This window comes from Homo sapiens, chromosome 21 (assembly GCF_000001405.40).
Source record: "Homo sapiens chromosome 21, GRCh38.p14 Primary Assembly".
Taxonomy (NCBI): domain Eukaryota; kingdom Metazoa; phylum Chordata; class Mammalia; order Primates; family Hominidae; genus Homo; species Homo sapiens.
Window position 1 is genome coordinate 6,484,034 of NC_000021.9, and position 22,674 is coordinate 6,506,707.

A 22,674-nucleotide genomic window follows, 5' to 3' on the forward strand; every position below is an offset into this window, starting at 1 on the left:
AGACCGGTCAGCTGGCTGTCACCATAGTCACACCACCAGCACGCGCCACCCGAGTAGCTTGGGGAAAGTAATACCAGAGTGTCTAAAGGCGGATCTGCACCGCAGGCTTCTGTGTCTCCCACAGCCATTGGCATAAGGAAACACGGACACGGACTACTGGCCCTCAGTGTGCCGTGTGAGCATCCACGCTCCCTCCCACGAACACATGGGGTTCTTGACACAAACTCGCAGGAACGAGAAGGTAACATGGGTCGGGCCCACCCACTGTGTCTCACCACAGATCAGCCTTCTTCCCAACATCAGTGCAGTCTACAGCGTGTCTACTGATTATAGCTAAGCACTTCTTCACTAACCAGTTAGAAAAGAAACCCCAAAAGGCTTTCCATGACAGCCTCGAGAAATTCCGGATTATTTAGCATGTAGATCTCACCTGGTATGTGTTTTATTTCATGCCCTAAGATAAAAAATATTATTTCATTTATACTCAAAGTGGTGGATGGATATTAATCTTTACCTCCAAGATGACTAGCAGATTTATAAAGAAAAAGAAATTTAAAGAACTTCCACAAGAAATAAGTTACACCAAGAATACTGTTATCACTACAAATTTTATTCAGAAACCCATCTTTGTATGTTTTTTTTTTTGTTGTTTTTTAAAAAAAATTCCCCTTATGAACTGGTTTGGTCAATCAACTACAACACTTTCTAGCAGACATAAGGTAAAAATGGCATGGCTCAGAATCGCCCAGATCTTTCACGATCTCTCGACCGCCTCCTGTCACGCTCCCGTCCGCCGCCACCTCCACCACCGCCACCGCCACCGCCACGACCACGGTCTCTAGACCGAGAACGACGCTCCCGGGATCGGGATCTTGATCTATGCCTGCAACCAAGGAAAATAAAGAAAACCGTGCCATCCAAACCACGGCACGCAGCACAGAACCACACCCACTCTCTCAACACGCGCAGCTCCTCAAGCCAACGGCACTGATAAGGAAAAACACTGCTGAAGAGACTGCACGCCGTGACTGAGACACACCCTGATTTCAGGTGTGAAAAGTTTCAGGAGAAAAAAATGTGCAACTTAGAAGTGAACAGGTGTAATACCTTGCATCTTCTGTCTTCTTCTAGAACCAACTCAAATGGTCACAGGAAATCATAATCAAAATGAGCTGGACACATACCATCTTCAACCCTCACTGACCCCACGCTTCAGGCGCTCATAGCTACTGTGTCCATCAGGTTTTTGGGCTGGGGAGAGCAGGCCTGTTTTTCTCTTATGCTTCTTGAATGCTGACAATAAAACAATCGCCACCCATCTATTTACTAGTCCATGTTTAACAGAAGAGGGATGAGAACCTCTCCAGACTCAGAACTCAATCGGTTCGATTCTGACGTCTTGATTTTCTCTGCTCTGTGACCTGTCGTACATTTAAATGTAGGATCAGAGAGATGTGACCGCTGGGCCTGATTCTGCCAGTGTCCCGAAGGGAGGATGCCAGCGATCCCAAGACATAATGAAATGCCCTAAAACCAACAAGCAAAACCAAAAGAAACCCCAGTGGACATGTGAAATATGTAAAGCAAAAGCTTGTCCAACCTGCAGCCCAACACAAATTCATCAACTTGCTTAAAACATTATGAGATTTTTTTTGCAATTAAAAAAAAAGTTATCAGCTATCATTAGTGTATTTTATTTGTGACCCAAGACAATTCTTCTTCCAATGTGTCCCAGGGAAGCCATCCCTGATCTAAAGGAGGTTACAACATCTATTCTTCTTCTTCGTAATATCTGGGAGAATAAACTGCATGCCCACTTTCACCACGAGCCTCATGTCCGCGGCTGCCCAGCTAACCGCCCTCTTGCTTGATTACTAAGATCTGATCTCTACTTGAGAAGTTGGATAATGAAGTTACCTGTGTGCAGGTGAATATTCTTCTCCAAAGAGGACATTTGGATATTTAAAAATATGTACTATGTTCTAAGCACTGCCTTTTAAAAAACAGAAACAACACCTATGCCAAAATTTTTTTTTTGGAAGGGGGAGGGTTGTGAGGGGAGAAAGAAGCCACTGAGCTTAACAACGGGCACAGGAATACTCACTTCTTGCGACGGCGGCCATACAGCTCCCGCCGCAGCTCTCTGGAAATGGGCTTCAAATGCATGAAGTTGCAGAAGCCGCCTCGTGTGCATTCTCTGTGGGTGGGTTGGAAGGAGACATTTACTACCTCGTGTGCACACGGCCCCGAACTGTGCTCAGTCACGTCACTGGCCACTCCTCACTCACCCCATCTCATACTGACGGCAGCAGGCTTCTCTGAAGTCCGTCACGGGTGACAGCTCGGCGTGGATCGGCTGTCCATTAAACCAACGGTTATTCAAGTCAATCACAGCCTTTTCCGCATCTTCCTCACGGCGAAACTGAAAAGACAAAAACAGAAGTGCTTGCCATCCACGCTTTAATAAGACTTTCTCAATTACCAATCCAAGTATGTATCAGAGAGAGATATACACACTCAGGTATAGTAAGGTGGAATAGTATTACAGGATAATTGAAAAATCCTTTATTTTCAATGAGATTAACTTCAAGATAGTCCAAGATTTTGCCAAATGTTGCCTTCATTTTTCAAATTCAACTGGTTAAAGGAGCAAATATGGCTGTGTAGGCAAATAAAGTTTTATTCACTAAAAAAGAAAAAAGAAACCAAACATGTGAGTAAACCTAACTTTTCCTTAGTCCACACAGCTTCTAAACCAACAGGTACTAAATATTCTACACTGAAATAACGATGGCTGTGGTGTACGGTCCGTCCTTCAGTTCTGCTGGCTGGGCGCACGTGTGGGCTGGCCACCGCCACATATGACGCAGCCGGTAGGCGCCGAGCCAGTGCACCTGAGCCCTGCTGTGCGCCTGAGCATCCAGGATCTCAAGGTGCATGGCGACAGGCACCCCATCCTCTGTCGGCCTTGGCCCCGGCACACTAAGCGGCTGCACCACTGTCTCGCTTTCGCCTGTTGGCCTTGGCCCCGGCACACTAAGCGGCCACGCCGCCGTCTCGCCCTGGCTCCTACCTTGACGTACACGTTCCCCACCAGGTGGTCTCCCAGGTTGTCACAGACGTTCATCTCCTCTACTTCCCCATACTTCTCCTCCATTTCTGTAAAAACCTCCTGAAGGGAGACCACAGTGGTTTAAGACTCGTTATACACTACAAAGTGTCATTAGATATAACTCATGTATGTTTATTAGCAGAGAAACATTTTAAATCCTTCCAAACAGATACAGAAGATCAACAGGTCTATCAGTCACAGAGTTCAGTTCTCTCACCTCAAAAAACTCATCATAGTGTTCCTGCATCTCCACATCGCTCACGGCACCTGCAAACAACAGAAATCTTGCTGGTTAGAACATGTTAACCGAGTGAACTCTTGTGTTTAAACTCAAACTGCTACAGTAACACACACGAGATTATCTAGAGAAAAGCCTGGCAGAGCTGCACTCTGCAGGAGCACTCAGGAGACTGAGCCACATGGCTACTTGTGAATGGTGTCAAGTGTGGTGAGATTTTAAATGTCCCCATGACAGTCTCGATTCTGGCTACTAAGGTGTTAAAATCACAACCAGCTTTAATCAGCATCAAAAGGGCCACATTTTCAGAAACTGTGAGGAAAAAGTTGACTCTCAAACTACAAATTTTTTTTTTACACCCACAAGATGCAGTCTGGCTCTGTCGCCCAGGCTGGAGTGCAGTGGCACCATCTCAGCTCACTGCAACCTCCACCTCTGGGGTTCAAGCGATTCTCCTGTCTCAGCCTCTGGAGTTGCTGGGACTACAGGCGACTGCCACCACGCCCGGCTAATTTTTTTTTTTTTTTTTAATTTTTAGTACAGACAGGGTTTCACCACGTTGGCAGGCTGGTCTTGAACTCCTGACCTCAAGTGATCCGCCTGCCTTGGCCTCCCAAAGTGCTGTGATTACAGGCGTGAGACACCGCACCTGGGCTCAAACTAAGAAATATTAAAATTTTCTTCCTTTTAAGATTTAGAGTAAAGGCCAAATAAGCACACTGATGTCTTCCCCTCTTCTATAAGTTTAAAATGAAACCTGAAAGCAGGGTCGATGATTAAAAGCTGATGTTCCTAACTAGTCTTTTATGGACTGCCAGCCATGGTATGCTCTCAAATTCTTCTGATGTGATTAAAATCCAAGCAACCATGAAGATTCAGTAGGACAGTTCACGCAACCTTACGGTATTGTGGACGCCCTCAAGTAAAGGGAATGTTACAATGTTTTGCTGATGAAAGCATTCTTTTTTTTTTCTTTTTTTTGAGACGGAGTCTCACTCTGTCGCCCAGGCTGGAGTGCGGTGGCGCAATCTCGGCTCACTGCAACCTCCGCTTCCTGGGCTCATGCGATTCTCTGCCTCAGCCTCCTGAGTAGCTGGGATTACAGGCGCCCACAACCACGCCCGGCTAATTTTTGTATTTTTAATAGAGATGGGGTTTCACCATCTTGGCCAGGCTAGTCTTGAACTCCTGACCTCGTGATCCACCTGCCTCGGCCTCCCAAAGTGCTGGGATTACAGGTGTGAGCCACCGTGCCCGGCGCAAGTATTCTTAAGTTTTATATTCCCAAACTATTTTCATCAGTTTATTCTTCATAATTCACATGTATTAGGTAAAATCATGTCTGTTGCGTGGGTAAATTTGGCAAATTTACACTCTATCCCCATCATCATTCTATCAAATTTAATTAATTTTTTTTTCTTTTGAGATGGAGTCTCTGTCCACTCCAGGCTGGAGTGCAGTGGCGTGATCTTGGCTCACTGCAACCTCCACTTCCTAGGTTCAAGCAATTCTCCTTCCTCAGCCTCCCAAGTAGGTGGGACTACAGGCGCGCACCACCATGCCTGGCTAATTTTTGTATTTTTAGTAGAGACGGGGTTTCACCATGTTGGCCAGGCTGGTCTCAACCTCCTGACCTCACGTGATCTGCTTACCTCAGCCTCCCAAAGTGCTGAGATTACAGGCATGAGCCACTGCCCCCGGCCCACTCTATCAAATTCTAGAGTTCTCTAAACCTGAGAAATCACAGAGCTGGTGTATCAACAAACATGTTCCAATCAGCTAGATTAGGGGCTGGCAAAAGCCTGACTGGTTTCCAGATTGGGCCGGCTGCCTTAGCCTGTGCACCCAACGTGGGCATCTGACTGCTGGCACACGGGTCTTTGAGCTTGCTCAAAACTCTTTTTATCTTTTTTTTTTTTTTTTTTTGAGACAGCGTCTCACTGTCTCCAGGCTGGAGTGCAATGGCGTGATCTTGGCTAATTTTTGTAGTTTTAGTAGAGACGGGGTTCCACCATGTTGGCCAGGATGGTCTCAATCTCTCGACCTCGTGATCCACTTGCCTCGGCTTTCCAAAGTGCTGGGATTACAGGTGTGAGCCACCGTGCCCGGCCCCCTTTTTATCTTTGAAGATAAAAAATAACTTCTTATTTTCTAATTCTGAGAATGATTTAAGTTCACTTTCTAACCTATCCGGGGCTGTTTTAATTATTTTTGAACTTCCAGGAATCTGCTTTCGAACCCAAATTTTATTAAGTGTAACTACTCGGACAGCCTGCCAATCATATCACAGGATATCCCAATTGGAAAGCTATTGGGAATGTACCTTCCTCCCCGAGTAGAAATCAAGTTATAAACGGCCAAAGTAGCCTATTCCAAAGGGCAGATTTTAATATTTCAAATTCACTTCCTTCCCACATAAGAAGAATGTGAAGAGGAGAAAATTATTCACATGCTCAAAGTTTTAGCAGGTTTGAGAAATGGTTTTGGGGTGATTATTTTAAATTATTGGCTATATTTGTTCTGCTTAAAATGTTTCAATCAAAGTGACTTGAAAGGCAGAGACAACTGCATTAAGATACAATTAAAAACTTATTTGTGACTCAGCCTATGTTAAATACTACAACTTGGAAAATAAAGCAGTTTTCTTACAGAAATATCATTCTTAAACTGGGATTGATAGTTAACTTTAACCCACGCATTTGAAGCTTATTTTTTTACATACTAAAGGGTATGTTGAAAAGAGCCAGTAATTTTAGGTAATTGATTTCTTCCTAAAATGACGAATTAGAATTTCATCTAATTTGTACAATCTGGACTCCAGAATTGGAATATAACGTAATTGCTAAACTTTTAGTTTGTAGCATATGGAAAACAAAAGTGCTGTGAACTGCAAATAAAGACACAATGAAAACTAATACAACATTCTATTGTCAGTCAAGAAAGCATATACAGTCCCCAAATAAACGATCAGGGCAAAGAATTAATTACTGTTACTCAGTCATGTACTTCCATTCACTTTTATCCCAGGGCAGGGTTGTTAACAAAAATTATTTAATAAGTGCATATAGAAACAATTTCCCTCCGCCTATTGATCTTATTTCCTTAAAAAACAAAAGAAAACAAACAAACAAAAAAACAGGTATTTTAAACCAAGGGTTACCAAGTAAATCCTGCTACCATCCGACTCAGGGAAAGAAATCTCTACTATCAGGTCAGTATTAGCACTGAAAAGCATTTAGTGTCTTGGCAGGAAAAGTTGACAAGAAAATCTCATCCACACATAGAAATGTGCACCACTGTGCAAGGAAGCACAATCCCCAGGCCACCCAGTGCAGGGCCAGCTCGAGAGGGGAATGCCCCCTGGGATCAGCTACCCCATGTCGGTCACCCCATTAACTGAGGGGCTCTGGTTCAAGGGTGTACTCAATTTAGGCTTGTGGATATCCAAGGGCACCTCAATTTTTACTGCTTTAAAACAGAATGGTGAATGGGAAGTGCCTATCTTTGGTTTGGACTTTCTGATTTTAACAAGAGTCCAGGTGTTCATTTTAATTTATCCATAAATGACTAAATTCTAATGATTCTATAGTTGGATGGCTGTAAAAATCAAATTTTAGTTTTCTGAACTTCCCAATCATACTCATCTATGATATCTCCTTCTCTAAAAATTATCATTAGGTAAATATTCACAATCTAAATTTAGTATTTCCCAGTACAGGAAGATATTGGTACCATCTACTGAATGCCCAGTTTTGATCTATTTCTAAATGGAGCAAACCAATTCCATCTCCTAGAGCTGGAGACTGTATCCAGGCAGTGTGTGGACAGAACGGACAATCTTTTCTGCCAAGGGCCTATTTGAGTGGAGCACCCCCACACGGGTTAGACGGGTCGGCACGGGGCTGGTGGGTGAGGAACTCAGGGGTCAGTGCAAGCTGCAGACCCTCATTTGGGGAACGCTCTCAGCACAATGCTCTTACAACTACAGGGTGCACTCCAAAATGGAGTTCAAGGAAAAAAGGCTAATGAGAAATAAAATCTGAAAAAATAACTTAAAAAGTTTGCTTTTTAAAAATTCCAGAAAGTGAGAGAAACATTCAAATTTTGTTGCTCTAAGAGGGAAGAATATGACTCGACGTTTAATTCCAGTACATTCCCTCTAGGATGACGGCCAAAGTAAAGGAAGAAGGGGCAGCAGCAGCTCCAGACTGGTTTTTTTTTTTTTTTTTTTTTTTTGGAGACGGAGTCTCACTCTGTCGCCCAGGCTGGAGTGCAGCGGCACGATCTCAGTTCACTGCAACCTCCGCCTCCCGGGTTCAAGCGATTCTCTGCCTCAGCCTCCCTAGAAGCTGGGATTGCAGGCATCTGCCACCACGCCCAGCTAATTTTTGTATCTTTAGTAGAGATGGGGTTTCACCATGTTGGCCAGATTGGTCTTGAACTCCTGACCTCATGATCCACCCGCCTCGGCCTCCCAAAGTGCTGGGATTACAGGCGTGAGCCACCGCGCCCGGCCCAGCTCTAGACTGTTTTAAAGGGCACCCTTTCCAGTTACTTTTTCCCTTTTAACACACGGTGGGAGTTCAAATCTCCAAAAGAGGTTTCCATGGGGTCAGTGGGACGAAAGCTCCTTGCCACCTCTAGTGAAACGCGGTCCTTGACACTAGCACGGCAGACCAGATGGAGTGGACACTGAGCTCTGACACGCAAGCCCAGGGAACCGGGGAAGGAACTTGTATGAACTTACAGCGCAAACCGTCAGCAGACTGGGAAGAGTTTTGAGGGTTACGGTAAATGTTCAAGAGGGCAATGGTCTGAAATACAAAACGCAACAACTTTATATTATGGAAAATTAAAGGTAAACACTTAACCGGCTGCCTCTGGCAAGTGCTTCAGTTGAGATTCAGTGCTGAAAAGAGAGCAAGTTATTTTCTGGAGAAGCAGAGGCGTTTTCTCAGTTGGCGGCTGCCTTGAATCCCTAACACTGCGGTGTAACGGAGGTCTCATGATATGCCCATCTTGTACTTCTGCTTACAGAACGTGAAAACTCTCCTTTTCAAAATTCCAATTCAGGTAAAAGCACAAATAGTTTGCCAGGCTAGCACCAAAATGTTCTTAGATGTGGCAGAAAATTTTTAATGAACTCGGAAAGAATAATGCTTACATAAACTGATGGAAAAAATTACTGTATTAGAGAAATACAATTGTTACATATCATGAAATCTCCACTTCCTGGAGGAAAAATTATAATGGTGAAATAAAACCCACACTTACTGGGCAACTTACCTTATTGATTCCTTAATATTCCTAAGAGTTTTAATTTTACACAAAGAACTTAATAAAGGCCAGGGGTTCAGTCACTGTAAAGACCAATGAATGGCTCAAAATGTTGAAATCCGTTTCACATGGACGGACCTGCTCTCATGACAAATGTCAATCAATGGAGGTGGCCGGGCCAGTGACCCTCCCTAGAAGGGATAAGCCTCCTGAACGTGGCCAAGTATCAAGTTCTTGCTGTGTGCGCCAAGGAGTTCCAGCACCTTGTCCTGTTTGCAACAGCTCTATGTCAGCAGCTCAGAAGCCAACATTATTTGTCTCAATTAAGAGTGGGCTCTTTAACACCATTGTTTTAAAAAAATTTCTCCAACTGTGGGACTTACAGTGTGAGCCGTCAGCCGTCTGTGCACTGTTTTGGGGATTACGATAGATGTTTTGAATCAAGATGGTCTGCGGGGAAAAAAAAATAAAAAGGGGAATTCTACTGGCTGCTGTGCATATATTAGACAATTGCAAAGAGACAATTTGTTTGCAAATGGCTAAACGTTTGTTTTTTTCCCGCAAGTCAGACATTTGTCTTCTGAAGAGTACACCAAAACCATCATATTATGAAAACAGAGTTTGAGCAGTGACTTGGGTCAAGTCAGCCAGCAACCAAGAAGAAACTGTATTGTTTTGATTAGTCCCACGTTTTCAATGTTAAAGTGTTTTAATGCAAGATAAATAGTAGAATACTAATATTTTCTTGTACTTCAAGCTAGCAGACACCAAGATGTGGAAAAATTCACGTTATAATCATATTCCTCACACAAGATAATTTTTCAAAACCAAATGCGTAACTCAGCTGTCTGCAGTACATCAAGTTCTCTGGTCTCCTAGCAAAACAGGCACACCAAACAGGTCTGTCAACTGTCATGGACACCCGGCTCTGATTTACACTTTCTTGGTGGGATCTCTGTTTACATAATACAATAGCTTAAAACATTTGCTCTTTTCCGATCCTTCTTTTAAGGAAAAAAAATCCTTTTAGCCCTTGTGCTTTAAACTGGATCAGGCAGACTTGAAACCTTACACTGTACCGTTCTTCTTAAAATCAAGTTGTCTGAAAAAACAAACCATGTTTAAGTTAGTAGGCTAATATATTACATGAATCTTAACGTCCATATCACTGTAAGCAGCTTATAAAGAAACCCACCCTGAATTATGCTAGAGATTTACAAGCTAAAGCAATCACTCGCATGATTTAGAAAAATAAATGTTTAGTCTCAACAATATCCACGTGAAGCAGTTTTGTAAGTGGTGGTTTTATAAAACCAGCCAGCTCCATTTCTAGCTCTGTTTAAAGGGGAGTGGTTGTATGAAGAGTTCCTCAGTCAAAGGTGTGCAGCTGGGAAGCCCACCCCACCTAAGAGGGAGGTCTGACAAACTGTCCACACTGAACCACTCAGACCTGCATCAGGGCCCCGTTTCTTCCATAAGCCGCCAAGTACAGCCCTGAGTCAACTGAACTCAGGCCTGGGAGGCTTCCCAAAGCTGACTTGACTCAGCTTTGAACTGAAATGACCGTACCATGACAACCCTGATGAAAAGCTAAACTGAGCCCAATTATTCAACAGTAAAATTCAGTTGGTCTCACTCAGGTATTCTGGCAGTGGCTATTTAATGAAGGAAGCTTAACGTAAAGAGGCAATGCAGTCTAATGGGAAAGCCAAGGGTGGCTAGGATTGCCTAAAACCAACCAAAACAAACCCACGCATCAAACTAGGATGCTTAAGCTGACACATACTACTGACCCCATCGAGCTCCAATGGGCTCTCCCCAGCACTGACCTGGAATGCCTAAATTAACTTCACATTTCACATTCTCAGGTAATCTATGATCCAGAAAAACATAAAGAAAGTGCCTCCAGCCAGATTAAAGAAAACTTTTAGAATAGGGAACAGTTGATTTCTCTCAGCCCAACACTTGGGACACCCCCCAAAATCAAAGAACTGGGTGGTCACTTAAGATGCTTGGTTATACCACAATCCATGGCCACTGGTTTAGTTAGGGGAGATTCGGTTCATAAATCAAAACATTAAAGAAAAAACAATTGCAATACACAGAAAATGTAAAGCTAGTTCTCCAAGATTTTGAAATTTGTAAAAAGAAACTCATGTTCAGAGCTATCAAAAGACAGACTGCTATTATACTAACCACTTGGTAATTAGCATAATGGAGGGAAAAGCCATCATCCTCTTCCCTTCTAAAAACACTGTGTGCTGTGGGGTCGTCCATGGGCTTCAACCGGAAAAAACCCATGTTTCCTTCTCCCAGCTCACTTACACAAAGTGGTAGATTTTCTTAAATGCTTACAGGAAAACGTATACAGACAGATGTGAGCTCAAAGGCAGAGCCTGGCAGCTCCCAGGGACCACGCATAATAGCTACTCAACAGCTCAGAGGCTGCACATTTAGACTTCAAGGGTGGGTTGGAAGGAGTTCCCCAGCCCTCCATCTGGAAAGACTTGGGCATCGATTTTCAAATTTCAAATGTTCTCATCAACGTGGGCACAAGTTTTCTGCTCCGATTAGAGGTGCCTTCTCCCTTTAATCCGTAAGTGATCCTTTATAGTGTACCAACCTTTGCCTTTTCTTCAACTAACCAAAAATAAAACTATCAAAACTCACAACTTTTGATTGAACTGAACTCAGAGCGGATCTAAGCCCAAGATAACAGGCACTCCTCAATTAACCAAACAGACCCGCTAAGAGCAATTTACGGCCCATTTTCTACCTTTCAGCTTAATTTTTCATGTTTCCATGACGTGATGCGACTCGCTGTTTCCTCAGCTAGGGATGTGAAAGTGAGGACGCAGCCAGAGAAGCTCGAGCAGCATGATGGGCCTGGTGACAATCACGCTAACTTGGAAGATGGCTCCATCACCTCTACTGTCTGGAGACAGCAAAGAGCAGAAAGCCCACTCCGTGTCCACTGGTGCCTGGAGGAGGCTAACCCAAGGCTGGCACGGCCACCCCCTCTGGACCCATGTCTATCAGAGGGGGTAGGGAAGATGGCAGGGCAGCAAATATCAGGCACAGCCAACACACAAACATCAAAAACTGATTTTTAAAGTTTCTCTAATGATAAAAACAAGGAGTGGTGGTCTCAGACCTTCCACTGGAAGTCGATCACCTGCCTCACTATTATTTAAATAAAAGAACACACTTATGAACACAAATGGAAAATACAACTACGAGAGAAAAAATGACTTGCTTAATATGTAGAAATTAACTGTCTTTGAAAAGAACATGAAGTTTTTATAATTTACATGAAAAAAAGGCAAACAAACCTGGCTAAACGTCGGTTTATTGTGCAACCGAGAGCACCTGTCTCCATGACGACATGCTCCAATTTTGAAATAAAATGAACAGTTGACTCTGTAAGGGAAAATGAGAGCTGATTATTTTGCTGGGAAGATATCAAACACATGGAATATGTCAGCAGCATGACATACACTATCAAATTACTTTTAACCTCACAGAAACATGACACAGACTTTTTTCCGTGGTATTAAGCACCTCCTCTTCCTTGCTGTATTTTAGGACAACGTAACTTCAACTTCCCTTTCTGCAAACACACTACTTGTTCAGCAAAGACGGTTCTAACTCTAACCCGCCTCCTCCTCATTCAAATCCCCTCCACTTTCCTAACTGCACAGCTGTTCTGTTTGTTTCTTAAATGGAGTATTAAATTAGTCTAAAACTAAATGTAACTTAGGCAGTATCTGTTCTCCAGTTCTCCACGACCAAGTTCTCTCTTGAAAAGACCGGTGTGGTGAGGGTTAAGATCCCAACTCTGCTACCAGCTGCTTGGGCTTGGGCAAGTCACCCTAGCTCTCAGATGTCATCTGTAAATGATGACAATGCCAATGTGGCACTGTTCTGAGAGTCAGACAGAACGTATGTGTGCTTCACATATGGTGCTCATGAAGTGCTATCATTATCTAAGGAAAACAGAAAACGAAGTTCAGAGTCTCTCTAAACGCATGACACCAGACCAACAGGGAGTTTCAAAAAATAGGTCTGAAGTAAATCAATTCTCCTGGTCTCAATACACTGAAAACAAACTATTAGGGGACTGACCAAACCCACCTTAGGAACCACCTTACGTCACCTTCTGTCTCTACTGCAAAACCCTCCCTTAATACTGTTCAAATACGCTGACAATCCAGATCCATATCCAATGGAACCAGCAATCATGCCTGTGTGCCAGCAATGTCAGGGAGGGAAGCCGATCTCTGATGAATTAGGACATCTTACCAGACAGACTTTGTTCAAAATTCAATTTTTTTTTAACCAAGTGCCATTATGTTTTAAACAGTCAATCCAGAGTTAAGATTGAAGGGCCTCAACCTCAGTGAAATCTGATGGACCATGAAGACTGACTAGCCACTGATTTATTATCAGGTAGCAATAAAGATGGGAAAGTCCAAATTTATCAGGAGAGGAAAGTGATTATATATATTTGCAAACTTACAGGTCTTGAGATTATTTAACTTGATTAGACAATAGCATATCTTTAGGAAGTCATCTAAAAATAAAGAAAGCTTATTTAAAAACTACCTCAGAATGGGCAAGCCCTGGGCCTCAACAATTAATATCCAATTATTCCACACAATTAAACTACAGACAAGCTATTAGGATATCCCTGAATCTAGAAAACATCTATAACTTCAAACATATAATAAGCTAAACATTTTTTAATTGGTAGAGATCTATATTTTATTCTTAGCTTAAATAATAATTAAAGTTAATATGAACCATCAGCTTCATTTTTCAGGAGTTGATCCTGTTCCCTGGAAGCTAAAACCCCACGTCTCCCTGAAAAGAAAACACAAGTAACCTAGATTAAATAATCAACTTTTCTGAATTAAAACCATGACCTTTATAGTATAGCCCAATAGATTGAAATGTGGTTGCTTATAGCAGAAATATAGGGAGATAGACTTTTACAAGACAGAAGTCATGCCACATGCAAATATGAAAAGGAGAAATTAATGATGCCCCGATCCTACATGTGTTAGTTCTTCACCCTAAACTCAGAAGAGTCTCTTGTTCCGATAGAGCTGGTCTATTCATTCGCCAAGATCATACCGTGAGTTCCTTAAGGATAATATCCAAATTTTACCCATGTTTAAGTCTCCAGAAACTGACCTATAGTTGACCCCCACTAAATGTTTCTGGAGTGACTATAACTGGTAGATTTTGGCTTAAAATTTTGCTAGAAATATAGCCTCCTCATCCAAACAACACAGGAGATTCTACCATGTGTGAAGAGGACATTTTACAAGATAGACTCCATCCTGGAAAAGAGAAACATTTTAAATAGCGTTTGAAAAAAGTGGCATTAAAAACATCTATGACAAACTTAGGGGTTTATCATTGAAAACATAAAGTCATGTTAACTTTGTATGGCACTGAAGAATGCCAAGATAACTAAAGAGTAGATTAAGCCAGATGCTGAGTCTTTAGGTTTTCAAAGTAAGAATTATCCTTCAAACGTCTGAAAACATTCCATTTAGTCTAAACTACAGCCAACTCACTGGAAATTAGTACGTGCCAAGGTGGCAATTAAAGCTGAAATTAAATGTTTTGCTTTTAACCTAACGATTGATTAGGGAAGGCATGCAACCTTAAGGAAAAAATCAAAACATCTTTTTCCTTATATCAGAATTGTGTCTTCAAGAACAGTCACCGACTTACAAATTTTCAACTTAGATGATGGGTTTATCGGGGTATTAAAGGCATTTTCGATTCATGATGGGTTTATCGGAACGCAATCCCATGGTAAATCCAGGAGCACCTGTATGTTAAGAGCGGATCACGTCTCTTGTGGTTAGATAGTTAATCCAGTAGTCTCCACCATACTTTTTCTCGTCATATCTCCTTACTGCCGGCCCAGCGGTCGCTTAAACAGGCAAGAGGCTGGCTAAGTGGATAAAACACCAACGCTTAGGACCCTAAGTTAGATAAGCGACTGAATACTGGCGAGGCTGGTACCAGAGCTTGCTCGACAGGACATTCACAGCCGAAAGTTGGAACAAACGTGTCCACGTCCAAAAGGCCCGGATGCTCCAGGCAACTTTCAGCGCGGCTCGAGGCGGCTTCCGGGAGCCGGCGACTCGGAGGCCCGGACGTCGGGCGATCAGCCAGTTCGGACCCCAAGGCCGGAGAAAGCTCGGCCGCGGCGCCCCGAAAAGAGACCCCATTCATTCTCCCCGCTCCATTTTTCCGCCGCGCGGCCCACGAGGCGGCGGCTCCGGAGGGCGCGCAAGGGGCCGGAAGGGCCACCGCTCCTTCCCGCCGCGCGCCCCTCCCCCGCCACCGCCGCGCCGGCCCGCCTGGGCCTCCCCGGTCGCCCTCCCACCGCCTCAACCACCCTGCGCCCCGATCGCGCCCAACCCCCGGCGGGGGGCTCCCACTCACTTGTCTTTCTCGGTGCCGAAGATGGAGGCCAGATACTCCGCCATTTCCCACCCGCCGCCGCCGCTGCCGTCGACACTGCTGCCGACGCCGCCGACCCTGCCGACGCCCGCGGGAGACGTCACCCGGACGCGACGACGCTCTTCCCCGCCCCGACGTGGCAGCGCTACCCAGTCAGGCGAGGTGCTGCCTGCGCGTGGGCGGGACGCATGCGCGTAGGGAGCACGTAGTGCGCGTGGGAGGCTCCGCCTTTTCGGTCCTGGGAACCCGCGCCCCCTGCCGGTGCCCTCCCCGCCCGGCCCTAGCTCTCTCGCCTTCTCGCCCGCCCGGCGCTGGCCCTGCTGGATCCTGCGCGCCGGGGACTGGGGGCTGGCAGTGCAGACCGAACCCGGGGCCGAGGGGCTTCTCCACAGAGCCGCCTGGGGCTCGGTGGGGGGCGCTCAGCTCGACCCCAGCTAAGGGAGCACTAGGAAGTGCGGGCGTCCCCTTCCCTGCACCCTTGCGGGGCGGGAACCGTCGACCTAGAAGAAAAAAAAAGCTGAGGCAAACTTGATATAAGTAGAGAGGTTATTTGGGCCAAGTTTGAAGATTGCAACCCGGGAGCATAGCTTCAAGTTGCCCTGAACATAGGATTTGCAACAGTGACAAGTGGGTTTATAAAGCTTAAGAGGGGGGCAGTTCTTAAATAGCTCACCAAGAATTTACATGAAAATAACAAGCTATTAATTGGCTGTACGTTGTTCTTTATATCATAATTCCAGGAAAGGAAGTTCATGGGTGAAGGCAGCGGGTCCGGAGCAATAGTGCCTTTAAACAATTGCCAGGCATGGGTGGGGACCGCTGAAGCCGCATAGACCTGTCTCTCCGGGCCGGATTAACCTCGCACGCCTCACATAGCTCGGACGCTCTGTGTTGTTTTTCTCTTCTCACACCCCTCTCCGCTTTACCCTCCCTCAGCGCTTGCCAGGTGCGACCTCCCCGGGGCCCTGCACTCTTGCAGTTGCCTGGCCAAGGCCACCCACAGGTGGAGCTGGAAGGCCAGTGACCTGCCTCTGGGATACCCTTTCAGTCTCCTCATGTCACAAGGCTGGAACCATTCCGTTGGAAGGGTTCTATTCCTCTCCTGCGTTTTAACCCCATCAAGCAGCCATTTTCATCTGGTTTCCCACATTCATCAACTCACCTGCGATTTACCTAATTTCCAACGCAACTATCAACTCTGATTAGGTAGAAGTCAGAGAGACAGGGCCTATTTTACTTACCTCCTCCACAAGATGAGCCCCAGACTGTGGGGCAGGACCATGGGATCCTCTTAGCTCGGCTAGAGCTGAATGCTGAGCTCTAGTGTTTGGGCGGATTTGCGTGTTAGAATTGCATTTCTCTTGGCAACAGAGCATCTTCCTACCTGGGAAAGATGAGCAAACTGGAAACCTGTATTAGAAACAGTAGGGCCTCAGAGGTTTAAACCAAAAAGTATCTTGAGACAGGGCTCAATCAATTTAGAAGTTTATTTTGCCAAGGTTAAGGACAATGCCTGGGAGGAAAAAAAACACGGTATCACAGAAACAGTCTGTGGTCTGTGCCTTTCTCCAAAGATGACTTTGAGGGCTTCAGTATTTAAAGGGGAAAAGTGGGCTGGAGGGGAAAGCGGAACAGTGTGGTAATCCACACGTTGCAAGAGAAAAGAAGCAGGTTGGGAACAGTCGACTGTGTACAGCTCACTCCTCAGCAAATCAGCACTTTACATAAGAGAAGCGGATGTTGAACCTTCTATCTGTAGCCGTCTGCTTAGGAACGAAAGGAAAGGCAGCTGCTTACATGACTCAGCTTTCAGCTCATTCTTTTCCTTTTGACAGAGTGAACTGGGGTCCTGACTTTTGTGTTCCTTTCGCAGAGGTGAGGCCAGAGAAGTGACAAGACAGATGCCAGTCCAGCAGGTGGGCATGTCCAGAAAGTGCAGCCTCAGGACACGGTCTGGGAACAAAGACTGCTGGAGAGTTGGAAGCTGGCAAGAGGCTCTCAGCTGTGAAGTACCTGGGGTGGGGGAGAAGTGGTCGGAGAAAGCAGAGGTAAGGTCTGTGCGTGGGAACTGAACTGAAATCCACAGCTCTATTACAAGGAATTAATCTGGTTACTAGAACCAGGGTAGATGATCAGACCAGGCAGGGCCACCAGTACCATCCACCCATTTTTCCTGAGAAAAGAAAAATAGGGTAGTCTGAGCTCTGTGAGGTGTGCAGAATGATCAGGCCCAGAGAGGCAGGAGTGTGGGACTTCATTCAGCGCCTCTTCCACCATAGAAGCAACTGTCCAGGGCAATTGTTTGATGGAATTTTTGCTCCTGACAGGCTGCCTCACCCATTATCTTCTTGTTCACATGGAATTAGTGATGCTAAGAACGATGCATAGCCAATCAGCACCTTCTGTTATTTTAATGCAAATTCTTGCTAACAACTTAGGGACTGCCTCTTCCTTTTCCTTAAAACCCCACTGTGACTGCTGCTAATGGGAACATATGTTCAGGGCAACCTAGGGGCATGTGCCCAGGGAGCCATCCTCAAGCTTTGGGCTCAAATAAACTCTATACTTAATCATATTTCCTGAATTTCATTATTTGAGGTTGACATTTTGGCAACCCAGATAGGACCTGAAGCAGGCCTTCAGGGATTGCCACTAAGTAGTGGCATCAATAGTTGGAGCCTTGGTACCAGCACAAACGACTGTTGTTTACTCGACCTCACTGGGGCTGGCAGGGGTCTCTGGTAAGGCCAGTCTTGGGATCTGAATCCTCCCAGCTTAGTTGAAGATTGAGACTTACACACTAATAATTTGATAGGGTTAGAACTGAAGCTCCACTGAAAGGTAGGAGTTTCCATTTTTATTCTCTAGAGATTCTGTTGACTGCAGATTTGTGATTTTCACTTCTGTCTGAGGTTTTGCTTGTCTTTTTACAGTTTGCAGCCTTTTCTCTCATTCGAAATTTGGTCAAGGAGAAAGTGTCATCTTTAAAACTGGCCATATTCTGAAACTTGGTTCAACTGACAAATCTAAACATTCTTCTTCTTCTTCTTTTTTTTTTTTTTTTTTTTTTTTTGAGACAGAGTCTCGCTCTGTCGCCCAGGCTGGAGTGCAGTGGCATGATCTCGGCTCACTGCAACCTCTGCCTCCTCAGTTCAGGCAGTTCTCTGCCTCAGCCTTCTAAGTAGCTGGGATTAGAGGCGCCTGCCACCATGCCCTGCTAATTTTTTGTATTTTTAGTAGAGTTGGGGTTTCACCATCTTGGCCAAGCTGATCTTGAACTCCTGACCTCGTGATCCCCCTGCCTCGGCCTTCCAAAGTGCTGGGATTACAGGCGTGAGTCACCGCGCTTGGCCATTTTCTTCTTTAGTGACCAAAATTCCTCCCCTTAGGCATTTTTGGTCATTCAGAAGGAAAATCTAAATTATGGACACTTGTGCTTCTAGAGCAGACATGCATCTGCAGAGACGGCAGCTGGATTCGTGGACAATGCTTATGGTGCCACCTTCTGTCAGTATCTAGAAACATGGTCTCACTTAACCCGTGAAGACCCCAGACTATAATAGCTAAAATGGGGCGCCTTTAAAGTAACTAGTTTATGCACTCAATAGGAAAAATCTGCATCTAAAATTTAAAAACTGAGAGAGCTATTTTTCAATGATACTTAGAAGCTTCTAAAAGAAGTTCTGATGAAGTCATTTCTTTGCAAGAAGAAAACAGAAGATTATCTGAAACTATTTCTTTTGTTTGTTTGTTTTGAGACAGAGTCTTGCTCTGTTACCCAGGCTGGAGTGCATTGGCGTGATCTTGGCTCACTGCAACCTCTGCCTCCCAGGTTCAAACGATTCTTCTGAGCTGGGATTACAGGCATCCCCCACCTTGCCTCGCAATTTTTTTTTTTTTTTTTTTGAGACAGAGTTTCATTCTTGTTGCCCAGGCTAGAGTGCAGTGGCACGATCTCAGCTTGTTGCAACCTCCCCCTCCCGGGTTCAAGCGATTCTTCTGCCTCAGCCTCCCAGTAGCTGGGATTACAGACACCCACCACCATGCCTGGCTAATGTTTTGTGTTTTTAGTAGAGACAGGGTTTCACCATGTAGGCCAGGCTGGTCTCGAACTTCTGATCTCAGGTGATCCACCAGCCTTGGCCTCCCAAAGTGCTGGGATTACAGGTGTGAGCCACCACGCCCAGCCATCCACAGTTCTTTTTAAAATTTAGAAGTAGTTTCAGGCTGGGTGAGGTGGCTCACACCTGTAATCCCAGCACTTTGGGAGGCCAAGGTGGGTGGATCACGAGGTCAGGAGTTCAAGACCAGCCTGGCCAAGATGGTGAAACCTCATCTCTATTAAAAATACAAAAATTAGCCGGGCATGGTGGCGGGCGCCTGTAATCCCAGCTACTTGGGAGGCTGAGGCAGAGAATCACATGAAACCCAGGAAGCGGAGGTTGCAGTGAGCCAAGATGGCGCCACTGTACTCCAGCCTGGGTGACAGAGTGAGACTCTGTCTCAAAACAAAAACAAAAACAAACAAACAAAAAGACCATGGAGGCTTTCTCCTGTTTGTTTCCAGCTGCTGCTTCTCCTTCTGCCTCTGGGATGATCTAAACTCATCTCTTTCTGCCTGTTCCCTCAGCTCCCATACATCTCTTAAGCAGTGTTTTTGGAATTCCACAATGCACACATTTCCTTCTCTCAAAAAGGGGAAAGTATATTTAAATTTGGAACAGACTGGGTGCGGTGGCTCACACCTGTAATCCCAGCACTTTGGGAGGCCAAATTGGGCAGATCACCTGAGGTCAGGAGTTCGAGACCAGCCTGGCCAACAGGGTGAAAACCCGTCTCTACTAAAAATAAAAAAAGATTAGCGGGGAGTGGCTGCGGGCTCCTGTAATCCCAGCTACTTGGGAGACTGAGGCAGGAGAATCACTTGAATCCGGGAGGCAGAGGTCGCAGTGAGCCGAGACGGCGCTATCGCACTCCAGCCTGGGCGACAAGAAGGAAACTGCGTCTCAAAAAAACCCAAAACAACAACAACAACAAAAATAAAAAATAAAAAATAAAAGAAATAGGCCAGAAAAGAAATGTTAGCTCAAGCCTGTAATCCCAACACTTTGGGAGGCCAAGGCTGGTGGATCACATGAGGTCAGGAGTTCAAGACCAGTCTGGCCAACATGGTGAAACCCCATCTCTACTAAAAACACATGTGGTGGCATGTACCTGTATTCCCAGCTACTCGGGAGGCTGAGGCAGGAGAATCGCTTGAACCCAGTAGGTGGAGGTTGCAGTAAGCTGAGATGGTGCCACTGCACTCCAGCCTGGGCGACAGAGCGAGATGCTGCCAAAAAGAAAAAGAAAAAGAGAAAGGAAGGGAGGGAAGGAGGGAGGGAAATTAAAAAAATAAAATGCTAACATCCAGGGAATTAGTTCAGCTGAGATCAGATCTGAAACAAGTCAAAACCCTTTAAATGCTCAAACTGCCTGCTCTGGAGCCCCTGCAGGGTTTGTCAGTGCTCCAGCCTGTGGGCCAGAGGCTATGAGTCTCTACAAACATGAGGCTATGTTTGCAGCCTGGGTTCAATTTCCAGTCCTGTTTTTTTTTTTTTTTTTTGAGACGGAGTCTTGCTGTGTTGCCCATGCTGGAGTGCAGTGGCATGATCTCGGCTCAGTGCAGCCTCCGCCTTCCAGGTTCCAGCAGTTCTCCTGCCTCAGCCTCCCGAGTAGCTGGGATTATAGGTGCCCACCACCACGCCCAGCTAATTTTTTGTATTTTTAGTACAGACAGGGTTTCACCATGTTGGCCAGGCTGGTCTTGAACTCCTGACCTCAGGTGATCTGCCTGCCTCGGCCTCCCAAAGTGCTGGGATTACAGGTGTGAGCCACCGCGCCTGGCCTTCTTTTTTTTTTTTTTTTTTTTTTGAGATGGAGTTTCGCTCTCGTCACCCAGGCTGGAGTGCAATGGCATGGTCTAAGCTCACTGCAACCTCCACCTCTCAGGTTCAGTCAATTCTTCTGCCTCAGCCTCCCAAGTAGGTGGGATTACAGGTGCTCACCACCACGCCTGGCTAATTTTTGTGTTTTTAGTAGAGATGGGGTTTCACCATGTTGGCCAGGCTGGTCTCGAACTCCTGACGTCAAGTGATCCACCCACCTCAGCTTCCCAAAGTGCTGGGATTACAGGTGTGAGCAGCAAGATTTCTTTTTCTGAGCTGTCTTTAGAGTGGTTCTGACGCTTAGGAAGACTGCTTTGCATTTCTTTGGAGATGCTTGGTTCAGCCTTGGTTAAGTCATGACCTTCGTTATGCCATTACCTTGGTTAAATCTTTGTTTTTGAGATGGAGTCTCGCTGTGTCACCCAAGCTGGAGTGCAGTGGTGCGATCTTGGCTCACTGCAACCTCTGTCTCCTGGGTTGAAGCAATTCTCCTGCCTTAGCCTCCCGAGTAGCTGGGATGACAGGTGCATGCCACCACACCTGGCTAATTTACCTTGGTTAAGTCTCACTGGTTTTGTGAGTAACTTGAAAATGTCCATTTCGTTTTTTTTTTTGAGATGGAGTTTCGCTCTCATTGCCCAGGCTGGAGTGTAAGGGATGGCCTGATCTCGGCTCACTGCAACTTCGGCCTGCCAGGTTCAAGCGGTCCTCCTGCCTCAGCCTCCCAAGTAGCTGGGATTACATGCATGCACCACCACACCTGGCTAATTTTGTATTTTTAGTAGAGACAAAGTTTCACCATGTTGGCCAGGCTGGTCTTGAACTCCTGATCTCAGGTGATCCACCCACCTTGGCCTCCCAAAGTGCTGGGATTACAGACATGAGCCACCGCACCCGGCCAAGTTTTTTCTTTTTTTATATGTAATAAGTTGGATAAAGTGTTTATAAAAAGTTAAAAGTAGGCCCTCAAGCAGGTAAAGTAGGCTTGCTTCTTTTCAGAGCTATCCATGCTGATTCCAGGCATAGAGAATGCCTCCTTTGCCCTATTCATTAAAGGGCTTCACCCTGAAGTCAGTAATCTAATAGAGAAACAAGCTAAGTTGAAAAGACCCTGTGATGGTTAATATTAGCTGTCAACCTGATTGGATTGAAGGATGGTAAAGTATTGTTCTTGGGTGTGTTGTGAGGGTGTTGCCAGAGGAAATTGACATTGGAGTCAGTGGACTGAGAGAGGAAGACCCACCCTCAGTGTGGGTGGGCACCATCCGATTGGCTGACAGTGTGGCTGGAACAAAGCAGGTGGAGGAGGGTGGGAGAAGCTGGCTTGCTGAGTCTTCTGGCTTTTGTAGCCACCCAGTGAGTTCACCTAGCCGGCTGCCTAGATGGAGCGGATTTATCAGGACAGGGGAATTGCAATGCAGAACGAGTAATTTACACAGAGCTAGCTGTGCGGGCGACTGGAGTTTTATTATTACTCAAATTAGACATCCCAAGAATTTGCAGATCAGAGTTTTTAAAGATAATTTGGCGGCTCAGGAAGTAGGAGTGCTGATTGATCTGGCTGGAGATGGAATCACAGGGAGGTCAAAGTGAGGTTTCCTTGCTGTCTTCTGTTCCTGGGTACAATGGCAGAA

At 45.4% G+C, this 22,674-nt stretch overlaps 2 protein-coding genes and 1 long non-coding RNA gene across 12 annotated transcripts in view, besides 1 other annotated feature; 1 reads left to right on the forward strand and 2 right to left on the reverse strand.

The window, feature by feature from the left end:
• Nucleotides 1–22,674, reverse strand: part of LOC102724701 (uncharacterized) — a 441,766-nt gene that overhangs the window by 255,068 nt on the left and 164,024 nt on the right. The gene's annotated exons all lie outside the window — the stretch shown is intronic.
• Nucleotides 1–22,674: part of a sequence alteration artifact (region identified as an assembly artifact by the Genome Reference Consortium. This region falsely duplicates sequence located at GRCh38 chr21:43035651-43187643) that runs on past both edges of the window.
• LOC102724594 (U2 small nuclear RNA auxiliary factor 1 like 5) lies at nt 590–15,215 on the reverse strand. Of its 9 annotated transcripts, XM_024452038.2 has the most exons (10): nt 15,096–15,215; nt 13,431–13,490; nt 13,147–13,200; nt 11,960–12,047; nt 8,098–8,164; nt 3,330–3,379; nt 3,074–3,172; nt 2,289–2,422; nt 2,105–2,197; nt 590–883 (listed from the first exon to the last, which is right to left on the reverse strand). In XM_024452038.2, the coding sequence occupies exons 6-10, from the start codon at nt 3,357–3,359 to the stop codon at nt 736–738; spliced, it is 504 nt and encodes a 167-aa protein (XP_024307806.1). In that variant the 5' UTR covers nt 3,360–3,379; nt 8,098–8,164; nt 11,960–12,047; nt 13,147–13,200; nt 13,431–13,490; nt 15,096–15,215; the 3' UTR covers nt 590–735. The 9 variants fall into 9 exon arrangements, with proteins under 9 accessions (XP_024307806.1, NP_001307580.1, XP_024307805.1 ...); NM_001320651.2 differs by lacking the exons at nt 13,147–13,200; nt 13,431–13,490 and adding an exon at nt 9,011–9,077; XM_024452037.2 differs by lacking the exon at nt 13,431–13,490.
• The window catches only part of LOC102724652 (crystallin alpha A2), a 65,287-nt gene continuing 57,782 nt past the window's right edge, over nt 15,170–22,674 (forward strand). The window contains exons 1-2 of the mRNA NM_001314050.5: nt 15,170–15,740; nt 16,987–17,161. The gene's annotated coding sequence lies outside the window, so the exon portion shown is untranslated. The remainder of the gene's footprint in view (nt 15,741–16,986; nt 17,162–22,674) is intronic.

Coding starts and splice junctions, on each gene's coding strand:
- LOC102724594 (NM_001320646.2), bottom strand. CDS start 15,139: ATGGCGGAGTATCTGGCCTCCATCTTCGGCACCGAGAAAGACAA. Junction 12,048..15,095: donor TTCGGCACCGAGAAAGACAA/GTGAGTGGGAGC, acceptor TTTCCCTTACAG/AGTCAACTGTTCATTTTATT. Junction 884..2,104: donor TATGGCCGCCGTCGCAAGAA/GTGAGTATTCCT, acceptor CCTTGGTTGCAG/GCATAGATCAAGATCCCGAT.